Below are 27,536 nucleotides of genomic sequence, written 5' to 3'. Positions count from 1 at the left end.
CTTGAGATCAGAAGTGTTTTAGATATCAGATTTTTCTAAATTTTGGAATATTTTCATTATACATACTAGTTGAGCATCCCAAATTCAAAACTCTAATATCTGAAATACTGCAGTGAACATTCCCTTTTAGTGTCACGTCGGCGCTCAAAAAGTTTTGGATTTTAGAGCATTTTGGATTTTGGATTTGGGGATTTGGGACACTCAACCTGTATGAGCTACCTGGGCATCCCTTAATCCAATTAAGTTACATAAAATAAACCATCACAAAAAGAAAGGTAATCAAAACAATAAGAGAAAAATAAGATTTCCCAATCTTCTGACCAGCTGATAAAAGCTTAAATTCAAGGGAAAAATCCACAAAGTATGTAAGTCCACACAAATATAGAACCATACTATGAGGATTTTCAAAAGTATTTGCAAAACTAGCAATGGCATTTTACAAAGTATAGAAGTATGCTTCTGCAGTAATTATGTGATTACCTATGTAGTAAAGTAATATGAATTCTAATCTATTTTACATTAGTTGATTATTTTAAAATATACCAGTATGTCAAAATGATTAGATGAGGCTAATTTGGTGTTAACAGTAAAGTTTATATGTCAGTGAGTATGGTTTTGAGTTTTAAAACCAACTCTAACAATTGGATGACAGAAATATATCTGATAGGAGTGACAATAAACAGACTACTAAATTTGTAGTTGACAAAATCTGAACTTTTTTTTACTACAATTAAACAAAGATGATAAGTTTTGAATTTTTTTTTTTTTTTTTTGAAACGGAGTCTCGCTCTTGTCACCCAGGCTGGAGTGCAGTGGTGCGATCTCAGCTCACTGCAACCTCTGCCTCCCGGGTTCAAGTGATTCTTCTGCCTCAGCCTCCTGAGTAGCTGGGACTACAGGCACCCGCCACCACTCCTGGCTAATTTTGTATTTTTAGTAGAGATGGGTGGTTTCACCATGTTGGCCAGGCTGGTCTCGAAATCCTGACTTCAGGTGATCCGCCCACCTTGGCCTCCCAAAGTTTTGAATTTTTTAAAAACTTGACATTTAAAATATCTGAAATTTCCTAATATCTATGTGCTTAAATAAATACTACTAAAAAGTTAATTATGTCTTTCTTTTCTAACAAGACTTTCATGGAACTCCATGAGAGACAGAAGACTGTGTAGTCAATTTTTAGGCTCATGGAATATTAAAAACTGAAGCCACAAAGACAAGTTAATGTACAGTGAGACTTGCAGTTTCATGTCTGCCATATAAAGAGAATGTGAGTTGTCACTCTTATCCTTACAACAAGAAGAAAGCTGAACAAAATGAGAATCAATGAATCTTCTTAGATCCATCAGAGAATTGAGGTCACAGTGTGAACTACAGCCCCTAAAACTGCAGACACAGTGAAATACATAGAATGAGAACAAACAGAGACCAGAAGCTGCTGGAGCCAGTAATTGGTAGAAACAATTAAATAGTAATTGATGAAATAAATACTACAGGCTAGGTGGGGATTCACTTGAGAGTTAAAAACTCTTGGGAGTCCAGCCTTAGAGACGCCCCACATTTTTTGTGAGCTTTACTTCCAGGACCCTCATCAGGTAATCACAGTGAAGAACAGAGAAATATCCTCTTGTGCTTCAGGGAAAAGGAGAGGCAAAATAACCCTTTTGAAATAAGCCTGTTCTTCACAGCAAAAACCTGGGCGTGCATGTGCACACACACACACGCACAACATTACCAGAGGGCTTTTCTGACACCTGGGAGAAGGGAAGAACCCAAATAAAGGCCAATCTAGACTTCTTGTTTGACGTAAAGGCTTGGTGGCTGGCTGAGAAGCACTTGTGAGGGTCACGGACCCATGAAAGGCTGAGACCTGATAATGGGATTTTAGAACCTCCACCCCCAATACCTTTCTGGTATATCAATAAGGGTCCTATACAATAATAGTGGTTTACAACTAAAAGAACTACAAAGATTAGACTTTATTTAAGAATGAATTTCTAGGGAAACTGGAAGACAACTGAAGAGACAAATACAAGAAAATTAAAGGAATGGAAAGCCGGTGACACTAGAGCTATAGCAAATGTTAATCACAGCCTAACAGTCAGAAAATAGCCAAAAATCTAACCATACCAAATGCTGGCAAGAATGGGAAGCAACAGGCACTCTTGTTCGTAGCTGGTAGGAAAACAAAATGGTGCAGCCACTTTGGAAGACATTTTGGCATTTTTTTAAACATTGTTTTACCATACCATCTAGCGATCACACACTTAGATATTTACTCAAATGAGGTATAAACTTGTGTCCACACAAAAACCTGCACATAATTGTTTTTAGCCATTTTATTCCTAATTGCCAAAACTTGGAGATAACCAAGATGTCCTCTAATAGTTGAATGGATAAACAAAGTGTGGTATATCCACATAATACGGTATTGCTCAGCAGTTCAAAAAAAAGAGTTATTTAGTCACCAAAAAAGATGGAGAAGTCTTGAATACATATAGTTAGGCCAAAGAAGCTAATCTGAAAATGTTGCATACTGTTTGACTCCACCTACGTGACATTGTGGAAAAGGCAAAACTACAGACAATAAAAAGATCAGTCATTGCTAGGATTTCAGAGTAGGGAAGGCAGGATGAATAGGTTTAGAACGAGGGATTTTTAGGGCAGTGAAACTGTTCTGTATGGTATTGTATTGACAAACTTGTGGCAATATGCATTTATCAAAAACTATAGAATTGTATACAACAGAGAGTAAATCCTAACGTAAACCATGGACTTTAGTTAATGCTGATGTATCAACACTGTTTTTTGTTTGTTTGTTTGTTTTTTGGGTTTTTTTTGAGAATTAGTCTGGCTCTGTTGCCCAGGATGGAGGGCAGTGGCACCATCTCGGCTCACTGCAACCTCTGCGTCCTGGGTTCAAGAGATTCTCCTGCCTCAGCTTCCCAAGTAATGGGGATTACAGGTTAACTTTGACAAAGGCTCAGTTAAACATGCAACTTATTTTCACATTATTAATATTAAAATCTTGCTATTTATAAAAAAGACTCTATAGGACTTTTAATCTTGATCCAGAGAAAGTGTGTGCTACAGAAAAAGCCCAATAGTCACAAAAAAGCCACAGTAATTGTTTTGGGAACTCTGTCACACAGAAGTGCCAGCTTTACACTTGTTTTCAGTGTTTCAGAGTATAACAGCAGTATGTCTGTCTGCATATCTGCCCACATTCTTTTTGTTTGACATTATTATAATACTTAATAAATGTACATATTTTCAAGATATCTGCCCAAATTCTGAGGGTCAAGATAAACATTAAAAACCGGTCCTTATCTGAGATCCATTTTTTTTTTTGACATTGACTCAAACATTTTGTAACTCAGTCTGTACCCATTACTCATGGAGAAGAATGAGGTTTCAGGGCCATCTTGCCTGTTGTTTTGTTTTTATCAGTAAGTGAATTCTTAACATTAGAAAGATTTTCTAAGAATAAATGTGTATTGAACATCTGTGGTTGCCAGAATTACATGAGTTAGGAGCATTTGTGACATCCCTGCAACCAATTGTTTACAAGTGAAAAACAGACAGATGTATTGAGGTTAAATCTGTTTATATTAGCTTGTGCTCATTTTCTGATTTTTTTGGACTAAAAAATGTTTTCGCTAAACAATAAAGGAAACTTCATAGATTCTTGTCATTAAAAAAATAAAGTGAAGCTATGCTGCAAGGTTAAAAATTATATTCTGTATTAAATTTGTATATATATACTTAATTTTTAAAGGTACATAGTAGGCATATGAATGAGTAAATTTGTACATTTAATGATTGTTTTTCAACACATATTTTATTTAACTCAAATAATATGACAGACTGCATAAAACAAAGTAAAATGAAAATCTAAATTTGGGTCCCTGGTTACTCCTTTTCTACCTTAATTTTCTATTATGAAAAGCCCCATTTTTCAGAAACCACTTAACACCTCTTATTTTGCATAAGGCTAGATATTGCTTTCTATAACAACTATAGCCCCCTTAACTTCTTATATTTCTTGAATAAATCAGCCACTTTTATTCAGTAAATACATATTCAATGCCTAGCCTACTAGATGCCAGAAAAAAATGCTAATTACAGAGTAAGACCCTGTTTTCAAGCTATTTATAATTTAAAAAGTACTCTGGACAAGCAAACATTGATTTACAACACAGTAAAATAAATACTAGTTAGGAGAAAGTTCAAAGTTTAAAAGTCACTAAGAGAAACATAGAGTCTTGTAAGAGTGAGCCTCTCAAAGGAAATGTAATCTAACAGTAATTAATAGAGAAATAAGAAATAACAGGGTTGGAGGTGTTGATGGGGTGGAGCAAAGGATAATTTTCTTAAGTGACAGAGTAGGTGCAGAAAAATGAAAAGAAAGGTAATGCATTTGTGGATTCCACAAACCCTTGGCCATTTATTTTTCTAATTCTCTTGTGTAAATTCCAAGTGTTGGTAGCTATCATTACCTGAAAAATTCACAGTATGCTATTTTGTGGTTGGGAGCAGAGAGAAGTCAGGTTTCTAAAATAATAATCGAAAGGTGAGTGATGTTTACATTCTTTCTTTAGCTGTCATCTGCTTTTTAAAATTTTCAGGTCTGCTTAAGAGTTAAAGGCAAAGAGTTTAAATAGGTGTTTTCCAATTGACATGTTAAGATACAACCCAATGACTTCTTTGGCAGGTCTTAATAAACTGAGCTAGGTCTGATTGAGGGTCCTTGCTGTCTTATTTCTTTCCTCATTGGCTTCTCTTTCTTCACTCCAATAAGTTTATTCTTTTGAAAGTTAACCATAGTCATGCTATTATTTGTCAATGAGTGAATAAGGGATTCTCCCTTCCCAGTCTCTCTTCCCAGGCCTCTTCTTTCTCATCTTTTCCTTTTCTCCCTCCTTCTTCCCCAACCCCTGACGGCAGACTTGGGAATTTGAATATGAGCCAAATAATTAAAAAAATAACAGCAGGATATTTCTACATCTCCATGAATGAACATGACTCTGTGTGGTTACTGCAGCTGCAGGTATGCATTTACATCTACATTAACTATTGCATCATGGACTTCATGAAGCCAAGCCCCCAAATTAATCTCCACCTCCTTCTCTGGCATTCAGGATATAAACTCACCAGAAACATTCCAAATGCAGAAGTGGTTCTCATCTTTTTTTGCAGCTTAAGATCTGCCTTGGTATTTGAAGAGATATAAACTAGATCAATTTCTTTCACAGGATCAACTAAACAGGTTGTACTTTTTTATTATTAATATCAATACTTAGATTTTAGATATATAAAATATAGAATGAAAATTATGTATTACAAAGCTCTTAAAAATAAAATATACAAAGACCAAAGTCTTGATTGATACTTTAGTTAATTAATGATGTGAAGCATTTAAAACCTTTTAAAATAATTTGTTGTTAAAAATAATATTTTACATTTATGTAGTATTTTGTTGCTTATTGCTTTAATGTAAAATTACAGTACCATTGCTATCTTAAAAGTGCTGAATGCTGGACGTGTTCTCCATTTTACCAATGAGAAAATAAAGCAAGCAGGGTAGAAGGAGGTAGAATAGAGATTGACTTTTAGTTTTGTGTTCCTGTGATAAGGGGTCTTGCAAATAGGGGCATTACTTTCATGTAAGAAACTTCAGATAAATATGACAGAAATCCAAAGTCCTTGGTAAATAATTAATATGTAGGTCATTGACATATATTGCCTTTTAAATCTGTGAATCCTTACTTAGTAGAAACTAGAGAGCTTCTTGATCTAATAATTGAACTTAACAAATATTTCTGAACATCTACTTTGTGTCATAGTGCTGGAGATTGGGATAGAAACATGTACAAAAGTCACTTTGCCCTCATACAGGTAAATCTAAGAAAGTAGGGACTATGAGAACCCTATGTATCTATATCCACCATAGTATTCTAGCACTGACTACAGGGCCTAGGAAAAGGGTAGGCATTCACATAGGGAGTATTTGCTGGATAAAAGGCAGGTTGGAAGATGCAGGAGGGGAGTATGCAGAAAGAAAGGAAGAAAGAGAGGAAGGAGAGCGGGAAGGAAAAACACTTTCTGAGTTTAATTGAATTTATAAGTCACAATTTTAACAACTTTTTTGATGTTTATTTCTGAACAACTGACCTACATACTCAGAATAAAAAATTGACAATTTCTAACTGAAATAGATCTTTTGAGAAAATGGGGATCACATAGGAAGTAAATCCATACATTGTAATATGAGACAATTTACCAAAAGGAATAGAATGAGAAAAGATATTTTATTACATGCCACCTACTTTGCCTCTCAGACCAAAATTGACTATGAAGGAGTAGCTGGAAGTCAGCCAACCACTTAATGATAAATCTACCACTCCCAGCTGACTATAAGCCAATTCTTATAAACTTGGCTGAACACCAAGAAAGTAATTCACATGAGTAAGCAAACCAATAGGCAGGACAAATCGTGGTGCATTTTATACACATTTCTTCTAGTGAAAGATCTATTTTCTGAGACTAAGGAGAAGGCTTGGGGAACAAGTGATTTATTGATAAGGCTAATATGCATTTTGGAAATAGAAATCTCATATTTTTGGTGACATTACATCTGATATGATGTAGAGGAAGGTTTTTTAAAAGTTGAGATTGTCCTAAGGGCTGGGGCAATTTATGTGTGTAGAAGAACTTATCAGGCAGGTTTTTGGGCAAATGTGAACAGGAGGAAGATCTAGAAAGGCTAATGTCAGGAAAGACAAAATGTGTTGGGAAGCTATGTCAGAAACTTGAAATAAGCTAAGTTTGGCAGTTGAAAAAACAAGATACTAAAGGAATTTGAAAGCTAATGAAAGAAAGTATGCCTAATTAAAAATTCTGTTAGTAACCTTGAACATGAAATAGATTGTCATGGGATCAGGAGATGAATTAGGAAATGATAACCATCTTGCTTAACCTTATCATTTTTAGCCAAGTCATTCAATGGGAGTATCCACTACCTTATTGATCGAATGGGGAAAAAAGTAATTTTAAAGGTCACAGAGGAATCCTTTATACTCTCAAGATTCCATTTCTTTGATATAACCATTACAGTGTAATTAATTTCATCTTTTCTTTTAAATACATTCACCAAGCATTTGGTTTATTTAAAAAAATGATACATATTCAGGAAGTCAAAAATCTCTGACTTAGATACCCGGCAATAATAATCAAATGTAATGATCTTTATTGTTATTTGACATATACATAATTGGATAATTTGCTAAAATAACTGTAATTCTGGACCTCTTTGTCTTTTTATATGCCCCAGCAATTTTGAAAGAAATTGAAGGTTCTGTGGTTTTTATTTATCACGGAATAAATATAATTGAATATATCCACATTTTTATTTAGTTTTAAGCATTTTACTTCATAATCACTTGTGCTTTCCTATTCTTTTATGTGTTAGACATCTTTCTAATAAGGTTAAAAACTCTCTATGTACCAAAACTATTTGATATGCAACTTTACTATGTTTTTGCCCCATATGTGCAACAACTAAGAAGTGCTAGGTATGTAGGAGGGTCCCGTTATATACATAGTTGTTAATGGTGAAATATTGTTAAGTACATACAAAGTATAAAGCAGAGGTTTTTTTTCAGTGTACCACAATGAATTCTGAACTTGACTATTATGAAAAGTTTGAAGAAGTCCATGGGATTCTAATGTATAAAGATTTTGTCAAATATTGGGATAATGTGGAAGCGTTCCAGGCAAGACCAGATGATCTTGTCATTGCCACCTACCCTAAATCTGGTAAATCTCTTTGTTGTTCTTTTTTCACCTAAAAATAACAAACACACTGTAAATGGTAAATATTAAGGTGTTCATGTCGTACACACTCATTCTCTATATTAAGAACAGATGCGGTAGTTTTGATATGGACATAGAAAAGGTAGCTCTATTCCATGACCACAATTTTTACCTGTAACTTGAATAGTACATTGAGAAATGGATGTTGTTGAGCACAGTTAGAAACTTACATAATATATACTAATGAACCTGTATTCATCCCATAATGAAAATTTAAAACTACCAACTGTTTACCTTATGTCATTAATGTTGTCGTATATACAGCGTATGACCACCATTTTTACAGGTACTCTAAAACTCTCTTTCAGCTCACCAGCCCTTTAAGTCTATCTACAAAACTCCATTTTTAAGCATAGTTCTGGAGTTTTACAACTGTAGACTTTTAGAAATTAGACTAGTCCGAATTCATATTTCTTCATCTGGTTGTTCCATTTACCACTTAAAAATAAAGCCAAACACACTAAGTATGCCCTTAGTTATCTTTTTTTTTTTTTTTTTTTTTTTTTTGAGACGGAGTCTCGCTCTGTCTCCCAGGCTGGAGTGCAGTGGCGCGATCTCTGCTCACTGCAAACTCCGCCTCCTGGGTTCCTGCCATTCTCCTTCCTCAGCCTCCCGAGTAGCTGGGACTGCAGGCGCCCGCCACTGCACCTGGCTAATTTTTTTGTATTTTTTAGTAGAGACGGGTTTTCACCATGTTAGCCAGGATGGTCTCGATCTCCTGACCTCGTGATCCACCCGCCTCGGCCTCCCAAAGTGCTGGGATTACAGGCGTGAGCCACCGCGCCCGGCCGCCCTTAGTTATCTTGACTCTAAATCTGCTTCTTTATTTTCTTCCCTATTGGAATAAATGGCAGCACAATACCAGTCATCTGAAGAGGAAACCCGTGAGCTATTCTAGATTCAATCTCTCTTGCTTATTCATCTGGCATTTGTAATCAGTCAAAACGTTTTGGTCATTTAGTCTGGTAGATAGGTCTCACAGTCAGCCTCTTAACAGGTCTCTTGTCTCCCTTTCTATTGATCCCTCCTCCGCTACTGTGTTTATTCTGGCACTAGAGAAATTCTTCTAAAACACAATCCTGATAATCTTGCTCTTCTGCTTAATATAATATATGTCAGTACCTTTTCATGATTTTTATAAAAATAACTTGGACTCTTTAGTGTGAACTACAAGGCTTGTTATCTGCTTGCCTGAGCCCCAACTCCTCTCTTCAGATAGACCCTTTGATTTACGTCTTATAGTCTATTTCCAATTATTTTCCGAACCACTATACCATTCTTAAGTACCAACTTTAGATTAAAAAGAGAGACTGGGCTTCTGCCTGGTAGAACTGTTTCTTACCTCCCACAAGTGGTGAATTTATGCCAGTAATTATTAAGGCTAAGCTGAAGGATCACATCCTCTCAAAGGCATTTCTTGTCAAAATGTCATGTCAGCAGCAACAACAGTAGCAGCAGAACACTGTGTTATAGATTTCTTCTTTGCAGTTATTTAAATCCCTGTGCCATATTATACAATAGTATCAATAAAAACAAAATTTATTGTAGCTATTGAACAATGTCACTGACTTCAAAAGGCCTTTAGCTCCCTAAGGACAGGAACCAGATTTATCCTTTGCTAAGTTTTCTGACCTAGGACCCAACATGAGACATAATATACCATCAGTAAAATTTTTGATTGGAAGCATGCTTATTCAAGTCTTCTTACTTTTTAGATGTAAAAATTAAAGTCCAAAACTGTTAGCAGCTTGCACAATGTCACAATTCATCATGAACAAATTTGGACACAGGTCTCAGGTGTGCTTTACTATAATATTTATCTTTATCTCTTGAGGTTATTTTTGTGTTCTAAACATAAAATATTATAGAAAATATTTCCTGAGTCTGTGGCTATTCAGACACCCTTTAAATAGTATTGCATTGGTACCTTCCAACTTTTTCCATCCATAAATGCAGCACTAATGTCATCAACTCTACAGGGTCAGCAGGAGACTCAGGTTTATTTAATTTTTACAGGTACAACCTGGGTTAGTGAAATTGTGTATATGATCTATAAAGAGGGTGATGTGGAAAAGTGCAAAGAAGATGTAATTTTTAATCGAATACCTTTCCTGGAATGCAGAAAAGAAAACCTCATGAATGGTAACGTTCAAGTTGATTTTAAAAACTATTTGCATATATTCTAAGGTGTGTATGTACATGGTACAAGCAATGAGATTATAAGCAAGAATGGCAATTAGTATCAGGTCTTCTACATAAGACAGCATATAAATTTAAATTTAAATTTAAATCTTGACAGGCTTTGCAGTATAGTATGTGTACAGCATATGTCTGGAATAGAGTGAATAAGGACAATTCTTGTATGCCTTCAGCAGAGTTTAGTAATATGTAAACATTTATTTCTCTGTGGGCTAAATGTGATGATATTTTAAATATGGAGAAAAATACCCATAAATTTTTCAATGATATATGCAAAAGTATATTTACCACAGATTCTTTTAATATTGTGGAAAATTGGAAACAACCTAAATGCTAATCGACAAAAGAATAGTTAAAGGTTGTGTAATAACACTATAAAATCATTAACATTTTTGGATGTTTCTTGAAATTGCAGTTTAAATATAATATTTTGAGAGAAAAAGATAGTTAGAAGCTATCAAAACGTTCATCTGTGTGCATGGTATTGGGATGGCTGTAAATTTGAGAATATAAGTAGATTTGTATAGAAGGTTGCTTGCCAAAATATGAATGATATCTCTCAGGTGATGAAATTTTATTTCATTTTATATTTTTCTATGTAATTTTCTCTATCTATATTTCTTTCTTTCATAGTAAGTATTATTATGAACACAATATAGAATCTTTTAATTTTTAATTTTTGTGAATATATATTAGATGTAAATATTAATGGGGCACATGAGATGTTTTGATATAGGCATGCAATGCATAATAATTACACCATGGAAAATGGGGTGTCCATTCCCTCAAGAATTTATACTTTGTGTTACACACAATCTAATTACAATATAGAATCTTAGAATTACTTCTATTTTACAAATATCTATATAAATCCACATAAATAGTTACAATTTTTGAAGTTGCTTAACCTTTACTTTTTTAAAAATCAGGAGTAAAACAATTAGATGAGATGAATTCTCCTAGAATTGTGAAGACTCATTTGCCACCTGAACTTCTTCCTGCCTCATTTTGGGAAAAGGATTGTAAGGTAACCAGAGTCAAGTGTTCTCAAAACTTCATCCAATTCCAAGAAATGATAGAGTGATCTCATCAGTTATACACACTTGTTTATTTATTCTTTCATTGAATCTATAGACACTTAACAAATGTGGAATAAATACAGTCAATATTGTCAGAGAGTCTATATTTTAATTCCAACTCTGTCTTTTGCCAGATGTGGTTCTAAAAAGTCCAGTTAGACTCCCTAAGCCTAAGTTTTTACATCTGTAGAAGAAAGATAATAATAACATCTTTTTCATGGAATTGTTATAAGGATTACATGATAATGCTTATAAAGTGCTTCACCTAATTCCTAGCATATTGTAAACAACAAATGTTAGCTACTTTTGTATTTGTTGTTATTACTAATTGTATTGAATATCCTCCCTTTGCAAAATACTGTGCTTGGTGCTGTTAGGCATGCAAATGAACCATAAAAGGATAGGTCAGATAACTGTCATATAATAACTATGTATTGAGTGCCTATTATGTGTTAGGGACATAAGAGTAAGACACATGCAAGCCTTGTCTTCATGGACACCTAGTCCATTTCAGAAAAAGGACAGGTTAACAGACAAGACAAAAAGTATCATAGGTCAAGTAAGAGAGAGAATTCAAACTCAGACACTGGGGGTAGGGAAGGCATCCAGGAGCAACATCTCAGCTGATATTTGAATGATGTATCAGTGTGATGACAATTCAGAGATGATCTGAGGGGGCATCTAAAATCAGTTCAGCTTGGCTGGAAGATTAAGTGTACATATTGGCTAAATAAGTAAAGGCAGATTAGCTAGGAACGGATTATAAGAAATATTGAAAGTCAAGTTAAGATGTTTGGACTCTGACATTTTAATGGTAATGAGGAGTAATAGACATATTAAGCTGACGGTTTACACTGTCAGTTTTGCTCTTTAAAAATAATATTATACATGACCTCAAAATACAGAGAAAACATGAAGTCTGAGACCACCAATTCTGTTCTTCAAGACCTTTCTCTCACCAGTGCTGTTCTTCAAGATCTTATAGTATTATTTGCAGTCATCACTAACAAAAAGGGGATATATCCCAGTCATTAAATATTTCCATTTTGTAATCCGTTACATGGCATATTTGACATTTCCTGGAGATCTACAGACAAAAATCAAAGATTGCCAGGTTAGTTTGTTTTTATCATTAGCAATCCTAGATAGACGATATACGTCCTGCTGAAGTCATTCCATGCATAAGGGCTGTCTCATTAGTAAAGACCAGTTATGTACTTTCCAGGAGATGTGTCATTATTATTTTTTAAGAGATTTGACCAAGACACTTTTTTCCTTTGGAGGATAGTGGTGGACTTGCTGTTAACTCCTTACTTCTCAAATGGAAACAGGTACCAGACATTTATAATAGTCCAAGCCTTCACAAAGCTGCTTATTTTTCAGAGTTTATCAAAGACTAGGAGATAGTTGGAGGGATTCATGTTTGGAGTATTTCCAGGGTTATTTACAGAGAAACAACAACAACAAAATAAAACAAATAGATACAGGATATTTGTAAATATCCTTTATGCAAATAGATACAGGATATTTGGAATGATGGAGCAGAAACTGTAAGTGATAAAGAGAAGAAAGTGACAAAAAGTAACAGGCTAGTAGATAATATAAATAACTGAGGCCAACGGATTTGAGCCATTGGTTTGATTGTAGGAGAGGTATGTGGAATAACTGATGGGGAAGAAGGAAGAAGCGGGATTTTTTGGAAGAAAAGATTATGGCTCAGGATAATTCTTCAAAAGTGAAACCTTTATGGTGAAGGCAAGATTCAGTATTTGGTTACAAAAGTGGTTACAAAAGTCTGAAGTAACATAGAAGTAATGATCAATGACTACATGAACTTAGAGAATCAAGTAGATCACACACACCAACAATAAAATTACACAGAATGATAAAAGAATTTGAATGGAGAGTGAAACCATGAGGCAGGTGTTCAAATCTTCAGTTAAAGCAAGGGAATGGCCACAAGCTTAGAAATAGCATCAGATAGGAGAGGTATAGATTAGTTAGTTAAGTATCATAGGAATAGAATAGGGGTCTTTTTTTAATTATACTTCAAGTTTTAGGGTACATGTGCACAATGTGCAGGTTTGTTACATATGTATACATGTGCCATGTTGGTATCCTGCACCCATTAACTTGTCATTTACATTAGGTATATCTTCTAATGCTGTCCCTCCCCGCTCTCCCCACCCCACAACAGGCCCCAGTGTGTGATGTTCCCCTTCTTGTGTCCAGGTGTTCTCATTGTTCACTTCCCACCTATGAGTGAGAACATGAGGTGTTTGGTTTTTTGTTCTTGAGATAGTTTGCTGAGAATGATGGTTTCCAGTTTCATCCATGTCCCTACAAAGGACATGAACTCATTCTTTTTTATGGCTGCATAGTATTCTATGCTGTATATGTGCCACATTTTCTTAATCCAGTCTATCATTGTTGGATATTTGGGTTGGTTCCAAGTCTTTGCTATTGTGAATAGTGCCACAATAAACATACGTGTTCATGTGTCTTTATAGTAGCATGATTTATAATCCTTTGGGTATATACCCAGTAATGGGATGGCTGGGTCAAATGGTATTTCTAGTTCTAGATCCCTGAGGGATCGCCATACTGACTTCCACAATGGTTGAACTAGTTTACAGTCCCATCAACAGTGTAAAAGTGTTCCTATTTCTCCACATCCTCTCCAGCACCTGTTGTTTCCTGACTTTTTAATGATCACCATTCTAACTGGTGTGAGACGGTATCTCATTATGGTTTTGATTTGCATTTCTCTGATGGCCAGTGATGCTGAGCATTTTTTCATGTGTCTGTTGGCTGCATAAATGTCTTCTCTTGAGAAGTGTCTGTTCATATCCTTCACCCATTTTTGATGGGGTTGTTTGTTTTTTTCTTGTAAATTTGTTTGAGTTTTTTGTATATTCTGGATATTAGACCTTTGTCAGATAAGTAGATTGCAAAAATTTTCTCCCATTCTGTAGGTTGCCTTTTCACTCTGATGGTAGTTTCTTTTGCTGTGCAGAAGCTCTTTAGTTTAATTAGATCCCATTTGTCAATTTTGGCTTTGCAAGGACTTCATGTCTAAAACACCAAAAGCAATGGCAACAAAAAGAATAGGGGTCTTTAAAGTGCAAAATTTTTAAGACAGATTACAATCACAAGTGAATCATTGGGAAACTGGTAACTTTGACTCAAGAGAGATGCAGTGCAAGTCATATCTTCAGGAAAGAGCTAGATTTCCCTTGAGGACAAAAAAATGAGCATGTACAGTAAAAAGTTTGGGATATTGAATAAGATCTGCCAAAATAAAGAATATAAACTAATAGAAGTTTAGGGAAAGAGAGATCACTCTTTTTTTCTATCTGGGAAAATAAAAAGCCTCATGGAGGACCAGAAGGCAAGCTATAAAATACAGATAGCATTTTGAGAAACAGAAAACATTCAAGAAAGACAGACTAGAACAAAGAAGACAAGGGGTGAAAATTCTGAAGTAAATTAATGCATACAGTGGCAAAGGGTTCCATTCAGCTAATAGATGAAAAGAACTAGGAAGGGTTATAAGTAAGATTGGAAAAGTTCAATATGGCTAATGATGGATTTTATATGAAAAATGTTCACTTTTATTCTGCAGTTTTTAGAGGCTTTTACAAGAGGGCTATAAAACGAGAGCTATACATCTAAGAATAAGCTAGATTTCTACAACATTGTTAGAAAATGTCATCAGTAAGACAATTTAGTAGCTTTAGTTTAGTGGTATTCCATAAACAGTGGATACTCAACAGCATCCTTTCATGACATTGCTTAGGTGCCTGAGGGCCTAAGTAGAAGCCCATGAGGATACTGGACTTTACTTTCACAGATCTTTTCGTGTAACATTGAGTATCAGACCTAGAGTAGGCCACAGATGATCTAACACAAATCATTTGTTTAGTAAAGAAAACATTTAGGTCAAAAATTACTGTACTGTTTTTTCTTACTGCCAAAACTAGAAACTAAAACCACAGTTTTCTGAAAACTAATTCATTGGTATTTCTTCTGCATGTAAAATGGAAACTAACAAGGTGTTGGCAGAGGTTATATTTTCACCTCATAAAATGTTTTTTTCCTGTAATATTGAAAGTGAAGAGACCTCAGAACTATTTTTTTTTAATTATGTGGAGTGATGGTGTAGTATAAAGACCAGAGCACTGTATAGTTGACTGAATGATATGCCAAATGGTTTACTCTCATTGATTTACTCTCAATGCTATATTATCACTAAATTTCAGCTTAATCTCTTCACTTATACATTGAGAATAATAAATAATGTAACTGACTTAATTTATATTGATAAAATTTACAACACTCAAATGAGGTATTATGTGTGAAAATGGCATAATAATGTTGTTCTGTTTGTAGTGAGAACAAAGAGAACAACACTACAAAAACCACTGTCACCTCAGGTTATTGAAGATGTCTTTATAAATAATTGTACATGTCTTATGCATTTTGTAAAATTAATGTGTATTATGTTTATATTTGAAAATGTAAATCCTTTTTAAAAAAATCTTGATGAGACTGTTTGAAAAAAATGTTAAGTGGTTTAATATACAATTTCATCCTCTTAGATAATCTATCTTTGCCGGAATGCAAAGGATGTGGCTGTTTCCTTTTATTATTTCTTTCTAATGGTGGCTGGTCATCCAAATCCTGGATCCTTTCCAGAGTTTGTGGAGAAATTCATGCAAGGACAGGGTAGGAACAGCTTCTTTACACTGAATTTTTTTTCAAGGTTTTATAAGACAAATGCCATCTCCAAGTAAAAGTTTTTAACTGTTCTGGTACGTTTTCTTCCCTGATTCATAGTTAAAACACAGAAATCTAAAGGCGCCTGGAGGTTTAGAGCAAGCATACTGTGTCCAGATGTAGAAGGCAAATTGCAGAATCTGAGCACTCTGGTCCAACACCTAAAAATAAATATATAGAATTATGTTTGGGAGCTGGGGGTAGCAATTTTATTCTCCAAGATTGAGACTCAGTGTCTGATTTTCTGCCTTGTCTCTTTTTAGTAGAAACAAATGTTTTACACCGTATTATTACAACTCTATTGAACAATGGGTTGGGGAGAGATTAGAGAAGAGAGAATGTTCACTTATTTCCAATAAAATTGCCAGGTTCTATATGAATATGGAATTTACAAAGAAGTTTGACTATCTACAAAACTCTTCCTCATTCTACCCAGAGTGCAATCTGAATATTTTAACCAGGTTTCTCAAATTTGTTAAGAGTTACTTGAGCAGATATTCTGGAAAATTTTTCGTTTTTATTAAACACTTTTACTAAAGTGTTTAGATTTGAGGAAGAAAGGGTGCAGGATAGTCTAGTATTCTAAAGAAGGCCATTCTGATCATGTAGTAACAATTATAAAGAAAAATAATAATGTGTTTTCATATCCACAGATGATAATATTGACTCAAGACAAATAAGGTATATGTGCTTTGTGTTTGTTGCTACATTTTGGGAAAATTTTTGCTAAAGCATAATGAGTAATACATATGTCTTAAGATTGTCAAGACCTCCACTGCAGGGCAGAGAAATATAATTTTGCATCACTGCAAAGGGAGAAATAAGATCACTATAAATTTCACTGTAGAACATTTTCTGTAAGGAAAAATTCCCTAATGGAGTCAAAGAACAGAGGAGGCATACAATGACTTCAGGCAAAGCAGAACCTTTTGACTCACACAACATTATATTATTTTGTCAGCTTTATATTTTATGAAACATTTTTACTATGAGTGAGGCAAGAGAAAGAAAAAGGAAGAGACAGCATTTGGTTATATTACATCATTTCTAAAATCTAATTTCCTGGAGTGAGAATGACACTAAGGGTACCTACGAGAACATTCCTTCCCATGTAAACTAATAGTGTAATAAATACTCATATAGTTACTAGTTTTAGTTGCCAAACCTAGTTTGTAAATGGTAAATTTGAGACCAGAACTATATTCTTATGACTATCAGACCACTGATAGTTTCACTAAGTCAACTCCCTTCACTAACAATTTGATTCTACACACACACACACACACACACACACACACCAGTTTCAACAATTTTCTCATAAGCTTTAAATCAAATTGATGAGAGAACTTTCCCTGTTTTTCTGTCATAAACTACATTATCTGATAAAGTTCATACTATTTTTACATACATAGATTATTTAACATACTTTGCCTCTCTTGCTGCAGAGAACTTTGCTTAAGATATACAGCTGATCTATTCTAATTTCATGATTATCTATTTATATTTATTTGTTGTTATTGTTGCTTGAACACTAGTTTTCGAGCAGTTTTAGAGATGATACCACTTTTACACTGTTTTTCTCTCTAATTTTAGTTCCTTATGGTTCCTGGTATAAACATGTAAAATCTTGGTGGGAAAAGGGAAAGAGTCCACGTGTACTATTTCTTTTCTACGAAGACCTGAAAGAGGTGAGGAACTGGGAACACATAAGCAACTTGGTAATTTCTAAGATGTTAGCATTTGAAAATACTCTGGATACAAAAATATTCCTTTAAATAAATGATGACAGCCATCTCGTAAATTTTTAAAAGGAAAGGACCAAAATAATACAGATACTTTAGCATAGATTTGAAGCTAGCAAATAAAAATATTCTGAAAATAAATACATTTTAAACCACAAGTCTCAAAAATTTCAAAGAAAAAATTTGAAAGAACTTGACTTCATGAATCAATAACACACACACATAGGCACACACACACACACATTCACACACAAGGAATCAACATGGGCAAGCAATTAACTGGTCTGCAAATGTAGAGATGTTGCAATTGTTAGATAGGTCCTATAAAATAACCATGCTTAATATGTTTAAATAAATAAAAGATGAAATTTTAAAAATTACAAAGAAACAAAAACTATTAAAATTGACAGAGCAGATTTGAAAAAAAATAGCCAAATACAATTTCTAAAAATAACTAAAAAAATATGAAAAATTAAGAGATGGGTTCAATAATAGATTAGACATGGCTACATAGTGAATTATTGAAGTAAAAGATGGAGCTAAGGAAATTCTATAGAATGTAGCACAGTGAGATAAATAGGCTATTTGATGAAAAGTAATGGTTCTTACTAAGTATTAGCATTTAAAAAATAAAAATGTTTTTGGTATATAAGATACAGTGATAATGTCTCACATATATCAACTCAAACTTCCAGAAGAAGAGTGTAAAGAGAATGCTAAAATATCAATACACAAATTTTTTATGGCCTTAAAATTTTCTTATAATCTAATTTTTCTTCAGCTTTATTGTTAGTGTAATTCAAAATAAAAATCACTATGAGATACCTGTTTTACACCCACTACACTGATAACAATTTAAATATCTGACAATAACAAATATTAGAATGTGAATCAGTGAAAAGTAACACACTGTTGATTGTAGTGTAGAAAGATACAAACACTGGAAACAACTTGTCATTATCTAGCAAAGGCAAACATGCACATAGTTTAAGACCCTGAAATTCTACTCTTAGACATATACTCTAGAAAAACTCTGACTTGTGTACATTAGGTTAGATATTCAATAATTTTCATAGTAGCATTCTTAATAACTGCAAAAATTGAAAACAACCCAGATATATATACCAAAGAATCCATATATAATGTATTTTATTGTATTACAATTAGATATTATATTATAATGAAAGGAAGTACACTAAATATACACATCAGCTAGGTAAAATCAAACTATATGTTGTCTAGAGATTCATACCTAAGTTTGAAACCTATAAAGTAGAGAAGATAATAATTTGAAATTAGCAGTTTTTTTCCTTTTCTTTTCTTTTTTTTTTTTTTTTTGATTGTTTTGTTTATGTGGGATGGGAGTAGAGGTGAAGGGAACTCAAAAGAAAAAAAAACTAAGAAAACTGTGAATGTTCTATTTCATAAGTTAAGTAGTAGGTAATAGGTGCTGTATATAGTTTTCCTCTTTAAATGAGATATATACATATATCTCATAATTTTTAAAACATAGAAAACATAATGAGTTTCTTTATTAAGAGGTGAGAAATTTTCTCTATTTTCTTATCCTTTACTATCACCAAAAAAGCAATTGATATCCATGTCTTATTCATATATTTGAATAACCTTTAAAATCCTTTATGGTATTTCAGTAATTTTAGAGTGTTTTTGGTGAGCATTTATTTAAAATAAAATCATAAATAATATTTTATAAATTAAATTATGTATTTATAGAATTTAACACTAGATCAAATTTGAATAAGAAAAGCAGTCATGATCTACAGTTTATTATATTATCCAATACTGTGTTCTGTAATTAGACTATTAATGACATTGAATTTGAAATACACACAAACAAAATTAAATAGTTACTCCAACTCTCTTCCTCCATTTCAAATTGTCCATGTCTACTTACTCCCGATTTTGGTCAATAATAGCCATGTTTAGGTTTCCTCTATATTTGAATTAATAAGGCTAAGAATGTACAAATTAATTTTTATTTGTTTCTACAATGTATCCAGTAGAAAGAAATCAAGACATTATCACTATATATATACACATATGTCTGTATATATAAAATAAGATTTTGTGTATATATTATATATATATACACATACATGTGAGATGCCTATTTTGCACCCATATATACATATAATCTTTTTTCTTGTGTCTTGAAGCATCATCTTTTTTTAATTTCAATTTTTAATTTTTATGGGTACATAGTAGGTGTATATATTTATGGGGTACATGACATATTTTTATATAGGCCACCATGCGTAATAATCACATCAAGGTAAATGAGGTATTCATCACCTAAAGCATTTATCATTTCTTCATGTTACAAACATTCCAATGATAGTTTTTAATTATTTTAAAATGTACAATAAATTATTGTCTACTGTAGTCACCATGATATACTATCAAATACTAAATCATTCTATCTAGCTCTATTTTTGTACTTATTAACTATCCCCACTTCTCTTTTGAGTAAGATAGACAAGTAAATAAAACATTACAAAAATACACATGTGGTAAATTAGATTTATTTAAACAATTATGGGAGCAAAACAGGGTCATCTACCCAAAATTAGAATAGCCAAGGATATTATCCTAAATAAGTTGATAAATAAGCTGAAATCGAAAAGGCAAACTACAATTTATTGAGCAGAGAATTTAGAAACAGCATTTGATTGGCATAGAGAGAAATGTGCACTTGAATACACATTGCGGTTAGTATTGCAAATAGTTGCACTGAGAGATATAGCTGAATAATGGTGTATATTATAGGAGTGGCACAGATATGGGGATGTTTGTAGCTATGGTGTACAGACAACTGATGTTGCATTGTGAGTATTTGACTTTTTACACCTTTTCTTAATCTTTCTTGTTTCTTTGTTTCTCACTAATTACACCAATAAATTAGGAGAAAAATGAAAATTGCCTGTATATCTTTATCCCCCAAACTTGATTTTTCACAGGGGACTTTAGGTTTTGAGTATGATGTTTGTTTTCATAGACAACATCTATTAAGTGTGATTATGCATCAAGGACTACAATAAGCATTCACAAACATCTCATTTAGTTTTTTGAATAATCTTAAAGTATCTTTTATAAGCATTTTATGGATGAGGAAAATTATACTTAAAACAGCTTTTATAAAATTCCCCCAATTAGATTTCTCATTAGAAATCTAATTCTAATATCAGTAGGAGAAAAGAGAAAGGTTTATTTTTTCTCTTTCATTTAGATAGTGATTTATTCAGTTTTAGCAATTTAGTTCTCAAAACATTTTCTCTCCCTAGGATATCAGAAAAGAGGTGATAAAATTGATACATTTCCTGGAAAGGAAGCCATCAGAGGAGCTTGTGGACAGGATTATACATCATACTTCGTTCCAAGAGATGAAGAACAATCCATCCACAAATTACACAACACTGCCAGACGAAATTATGAACCAGAAATTGTCGCCCTTCATGAGAAAGGGTGAGAAAAATGTGGTTTGCCTCGATACTAGAGGAAGTCACAAGGTGACATGGTTATAGGCAAAAATCTAGTGAGGTATTTTAATGCCTATGAACCCAGCTTAAGTTTTCTTCAGCAGTCTTTCATATTTGAATACACTCTTTAAGTTACACTTCTATTACATTGCAATTACCTGTTGATTATTTATTATATGCATCATATTATGTTAAAATAACTAGCAGACTCCTCAATCTCAGCATTGGAAATAGTATCACACTCTACTAGCTGTAATTTACCAAGCCTATGTGCCTCAGTGTTACAACATGTATCATATAGTTCCTTTAAGTTCTAACCAGAAATTCCGCAGAAAGATTTTATTCCTCTCTCTTTTTGAGTTGAAGAAATAAGTTTAGAATAGTTTGTCAACATTTTTTAACAAGTGGCAAACACCTTTCAAGGGTAAGTGGCAAAAAATAGAAATTCAAATATAGCTCTGTTTAGCAAAAAATATCAACATATAAGGAGAAAAAAATTCTATTTGGGGGGAGACATAGCCTGATGAGATATAGCCAGTTAACAAATTTAAAGGCATGTAAGATATTCAGATATTCAGAGCACTGGGACACCAGTCTATTTATATATGAGGAAGCAGAAACAAACAGAATAGAATCAAATCTTGCTCTTTGAACCATACTGTCAGTGAGAGTCAGGGAATTTGTAAAATAACAAACCTGCCACTGGGGAAAAAAACAAAACAGAACAGGGATCCACTGAAAAGAGATTCAGTTCTCAAACTATATTTTAATTATGTACTCTTTTGATTATATGTTTCCTTTTTCAAAATTCTACATATAAATGTTACAGAGGACTTAAAACGGTTGTCTTGCTTGCAAACGGTGACTTGCTGCTGTACCCTCAGAACCTATCTGATTTTTTTAGGATACACATGTTCTGTCTTCTGGTTTTTGGGTTATTTCAGTGGGAAAGTTTAGAGCTCCTTGAGCAAGAGGGCAAGTGAACTCTTGAATAGTTTAAAAAAGAAGGTGGGCTGGGCGCGGTGGCTCACACCTGTAATCCCAGCACTTTGGGAGGCCGAGACGGGCGGATCATGAGGTCAGGAGATCGAGACCATCCTGGCTAACACAGTGAAACCCTGTCTCTACTGAAAATACAAAAAATTAGCCAGGCATGGTGGCGGGCGCCTGTAGTCCCAGCTACTCGGGAGGCTGAGGCAGGAGAATGGTGTGAACCTGGGAGGTGGAGCTTGCAGTGAGCAGAGATAGCTGCACTGCATTCCAGCCTGGGTGACAGAGCGAGACTCTGTCTCCAAAAAAAAAAGAAAAAAAAAAAAGATGAATTCCTTCTGCAAGGTGAGTGTTGGAAGTATGTTAAAAAGCAAAACAGGAAAAGCCTGCTGGACTATTATAATTACCCAGATGAGAAACACTCTCTGGCTGGCAGTAGCAGAAGTGTTTAAGAGGCAGTAGATATAAAGAAAGCCTGAATATAATGAATTAGATGTTGTGGTTAAGAGAATAACGTCCAAGCTTATGTGTAGATACCTGGTGTTGACTCTACACAGGTCATTAAAATGTAAATGGAGAAAACACAATATGCTAAGGAATAAAATGAATTTATTTTTGAACTAATTGTATTTGGAAAATTTGGACATTTTTCAGGTGGCAAAATCATGTAGGCAGTTGTATATAAAGCATAAGTCTGGATTTTAGTGCTATCAGCATTAAGATGATATTTAACACCTTGAGAGTGGGTAAAACATGGATCTTATCCTGGGAGCCCCAACAGCTGAGATGAAACTTCAGAAGAAAAATAAAGTAAATGGCATAAGAAGAAAGAATCAGAGAATTAAATTTGTTGTTTTTTTAAACCAATTAGGACAAATCCATCTTTGTAAGCCCAAAAAAGTATATCATTAAAGGTATACATTTGATTCTTAAAATTGAGAATTACAAGTATAATATTTGATTAGGTGTTAATGAAAGTGATGAAATTAGCAAACCTAATGATTCTTTTTGGAAGACTTAATATTTATTGAGCTTTCTTTTTTGTTACAGGAATTACAGGAGACTGGAAAAATCACTTTACAGTAGCCCTGAATGAAAAATTTGATAAACATTATGAGCAGCAAATGAAGGAATCTACACTGAAGTTTCGAACTGAGATCTAAGAAGGTCTTTCTTTACTTAACATATCTGATATTAAAGATTTCTTTTCATTATTCTCCACTTTTTCTTATTTTAGATTGCTAGAAAAGACATAATCATGGATTATGTTGACATTTTCTTTTTAAATTTTTGTTTAACTTTTTTTTTTTTTTTTTGAGACAGAGTCTCACTCTGTTGCCTAGGCTGGAGGACAGTGGCACAATCATGGCTGATTGCAGCCTTGACCTCCTTGACTCAATTGATCCTCCCATCTCAGCCTCCCAAGTAGCTAGGACTACAGACATGTGCAACCATGTTTGGCTAATTTTTTTAATGTTTTTTTGTAGAGATGAGGTCTTATTATATTGTCCAGGCTGGTCTTGAATTCCTGGGCTCAAGCTTCCCAAGTAGCTGCAACAACAGGCACACACCACCATGCTCAACTAATTTTATTTCTATTTTTTGTATAGACAGGGGCTTGCTATAGTGTCCAGGCTGGTCTGAAACCCTTGAGCTCAAGTGATCTTCCCACACCAGCCTCCCAAAATACTGGGATTACAGGCTTGAGCCTCCATGCCTGGCCCAGGTAACATGTTTATTGAGCTGTACATGCATATGAGAAATAAGAAACTTTTTTTTCCTACTATCATCTCTTAAATTTTGTTTTCTTTTTCTTTTGCTTCCTCTTCTTCTTTTCTATTTTTTATAAATATCATGCACAACTATAACCTATGGGAATGATGTAGTAACACAGATTATTCATCTTGTTAGAGTTGTATTAAAAATAAACAAGCATTTCAAATTATTTTTGTGATTGATTTTCCATTTAGTAGGACATTAGTATATAATAAAAATGGTGCATGAACTTTGAAGACTCTGGAAGAAAGAATGAAATAATATATAAATAGGGGGCATAACTATAGCTATGATTTCCCTCCTTATTTTCTTTTATTTTCTTTTTTTTTGAGACGGAGTCTCACTCTGTCTCCCAGGCTGCAGTGCAGTGGCGTGATCTCTGCTCATGCTCACTGCAAGCTCCACCTCCTGGGTTCCCGCCATTCTCCTGCCTCAGCCTTCCAAGTAGCTGGGACTACAGGCGGCCGCCACCACGCCCGGCTAATTTTTTGTATTTTTAGTAGAGACGGGGTTTCACAGTGTTAGCCAGGATGGTCTCGATCTCCTGACCTCGTGATCCACCCGCCTCAGCCTCCCAAAGTGCTGGGATTACAGGCGTGAGCCACCGCGCCTGGCCCATTTTCTTTTACTTTCAACAAAATGAGTTAATTTTAAATTTACCTTAGTCTAACTCCAATTTTTCAACATAACACAACAGATTTCCAAACATCCAAAAATAATTCCAATGAGTGTGATTTATCTTCAGCTAGTTTGAAATATTTATGCTTTAGGGTTCCTTCTGTCCTATATGCAATCCAACAAATGTAAATATTGTAAAATAAGTTTTAAAGAATAAGATATTTGGCAGTAAAATATAACAAAAACAGAAGAAAAAAGAATTAAAATTTTTTATTGTTTTTTATTTAAAACATCTTCTATTTTTAAAATTGTATTCTTTTTCTGTACTATGTTTAGTCAATGCTTCCTTTCACTAACACAGAGGAGACACAAGATCATTACATATTTACTTAGGGTCTTCAGTAGAATGCTTATCTAGACTACAATAGACTAAAAGGCCAAATCTGGGGAGAAATCCAGATGATTTATTTTCTTACTTTTTGGAGAAAAGTCCATGGATTTCTGAGCACCCTATTCAATAGTTATAGTTTTTAAGAATCAAAGCTTTTTTTTAATGTTTAATATAGTTATTAATTATACAAAAATTGGAGAGTCTTGGAAAATATTAAGATATTGTTGAGGACAGTGTTTACCGGGGGAATCAGAATCAATCCCTGAAAACAATTGTTTTACATTTTTTATGTGCCCATTTAGTCATAATTTTTAAAATTTCACATTATAATGTCCAATAACTTTTTTAGAATGCATTTTGTAAGATTCATAGTGATGTTGCCCACATTATAATTGACGTAAGTAAGCAATAATAAACCTACGTATATTTCTGACATCAGTCCTTGGTGGAACAACACATTCCAGTTTAGCCTGAATAAAATTTGGACCAACTATATCTTTCCAAAGCTTGCCAAGAAACTTCTGTATCTTCTTTGGAGAAGTAATACGGCTGGGATCTAGCTTCAATTTCACGTAGAAACTTCAACACCTTTAGATTATTGGCATCTTCCTGGAGCTGGGCTTACAGTCCATATGGACTGGAGACAATGAAAACCTTGGACGGCATCATGTGGTAAAATACATAGGGGTGGCCAATGTAGCTTTGGTTCTGTGCTTCCAAGAAAGCTACAGAATTTTTTTACCTCATTGCTTAATATTTCCTAATAATTATATCTCTAGAACAATGCCTTCAGGCCCAGATAAATTCACAGAAATACTTTTTAAAGGTTTATGGACTGACTGATTAATACCATGTGTTATCATTTGAATGTGTTCCCCAAAAGTTTATGTATTGAAAACTCAATTAATCTGCCCTCATAAATGGATTAATTGATTAATGAGAGCTCTGCACTCATGAATGGATTGGTGTCACTATCCCAGGAGTGGGTTCATTATTGCCAGAGAGACTTTATTACAAAAGTGAGTCCTCTCTGGCTCTTACTGTCTCACATATGATGCCTTTTATGTTATGTTGCAGCAAAAAGGCCCTCACCAGATGCCAATGGCATGCTCTTGGACTTTTCAGTTTCCCAAACTAAGCCAAACAAACTTCTGGATTTTGTAAATCCCAGTTTATGTTGTTCTGTTATAGTGACAGAAAATAGACATTCTGTCAACACTAGGAAGTACTCAGTTAGCACTTATGGGTGTGGTAATTGCTCATAATTGGAGCCATCCCATAAAGTTCATCCATATGGTTAAAATACCTAAGAATTCAACTTGAGCAACGAATAAATGAAGTAGTATGAGACTATGCCTGACAGCATAAAATAAACAAGCATCCGTGTTGATATAAATAAATGATTAAATAATTAAATGTGGTAAATAAATATACCATACAGAAGAATTTCACCTACTTATGTATAGTTCCCCGTGCCATTCCTTAAGTGTGAGATCCATATTGGGACTTTCTTATAAAGGGCAAGTGCAGTATGAGGGGAAGAGTAACTTTGGAGTGGAGAAACCCTACCTCAGCCAGGTAATTCCCCTTTTGTATATAACTAATTACCTGATCAGGCAGATCACCTTCTATGTCCTGCTCTCTATCAGACCTCTGATCTCACTGCCACTTTCCATTCCCCAGGCATGCTACTTGTCTGCTAGGCCTCTGAAACTCCTTAGCCCCTTGTATGCTACCATTTTCAAGGGAACAAAGGGAAAGAAAAAGAAAAGAGAAAATAAATTTTCACTTATTTTTAGGTCTAATGTCTTCAGGGTCCAGTAAAAGTACAGCGTCATAAAAGACCTCCTTCTGCTCCCTTTGCTGACACCTACCTTAGCCTCGTAAGCCAGAAGACTTGAAAAGGTTCTGGTCCACATCTCAGGTAACTTCTGAGAAATCAAGAAATTCTTCATTGTAACAGCAAGGTTTAACTCTCTTGAATTCTGTTCTTTCTGGATTTTGGCCCAATATTTAAAAATTTTCTTCTCAGTTCAGCAAAATGAAAGAAGCTTAAAGTAAACAGAATAAAGTAAAAAAAAAATAAAAACAATTAAATTAAACTGGATACAGGAAAACAATGGAGAAAATTAATGAAAGCAAAAGCTAGTTCTCAAAAAAAGATTAATAACATTAATAAACCTCTACAAAGACTGACAAAGATGGGAAAACAGAGGACCTACATTGCTAAAATCAGCAATAAAATAAGAAATATAACCACAGATTCTACAACCAGTGAAAGCATAAGAAGAAAAGTCTGTAAACTTTATGCTAGTAAATTTGACAATTTAGAAGGAATGGCCATTTCCTCAAAAACCACATACTACCAAACTCATACAAAATGAAATAAAATACCTGAATAGTCCTATAACCATTACACATATAATAAAATACTCTTGAAAGAGAATTCACAAAGCCTAGATGACTTCAGTGAATTTTATGAAACATTTAAAAAAGACACCTAGTAATGGTAATGATACCTGTCTTAAAATATTAAAAACTGGCCAGGAGCAGTGGCTTTCACCTGTAATCCCAGCACTTTGGGAGGTCAAGG

General features: G+C 34.0%; 1 protein-coding gene across 5 annotated transcripts in view; it reads left to right on the top strand.

The window, feature by feature from the left end:
* The first annotated feature begins 5,169 nt into the window (after positions 1 to 5,169).
* SULT1E1 (sulfotransferase family 1E member 1) overlaps positions 5,170 to 27,536 on the top strand; it is a 39,024-nt gene continuing 16,657 nt past the window's right edge. Inside the window, exons 1-8 of one of the 5 annotated variants that reach the window (XR_007057952.1) lie at positions 5,170 to 5,266; positions 7,662 to 7,815; positions 9,889 to 10,014; positions 11,001 to 11,098; positions 15,752 to 15,878; positions 17,523 to 17,617; positions 20,974 to 21,154; positions 23,209 to 26,867. Coding sequence is in view for 4 of the 5 variants with exons in the window: in XM_047416101.1 (XP_047272057.1) it covers positions 7,671 to 7,815; positions 9,889 to 10,014; positions 11,001 to 11,098; positions 15,752 to 15,878; positions 17,523 to 17,617; positions 20,974 to 21,154; positions 23,209 to 23,321 (885 nt within the window). In the remaining variant the exon portion in view is untranslated. Of the gene's footprint in view, positions 7,816 to 9,888; positions 10,015 to 11,000; positions 11,099 to 15,751; positions 15,879 to 16,582; positions 16,611 to 17,522; positions 17,618 to 20,973; positions 21,155 to 23,208; positions 26,868 to 27,536 lie in introns of those variants that run through there. The other 4 variants (XM_047416101.1, NM_005420.3, XM_047416100.1 and 1 more) reach the window with 4 other exon arrangements.

The sequence above is a fragment of the Homo sapiens genome, chromosome 4 (genome assembly GCF_000001405.40).
Source record: "Homo sapiens chromosome 4, GRCh38.p14 Primary Assembly".
Taxonomy (NCBI): Eukaryota; Metazoa; Chordata; class Mammalia; order Primates; family Hominidae; genus Homo; species Homo sapiens.
This window is presented reverse-complemented; position numbering and strand designations above follow the sequence as displayed.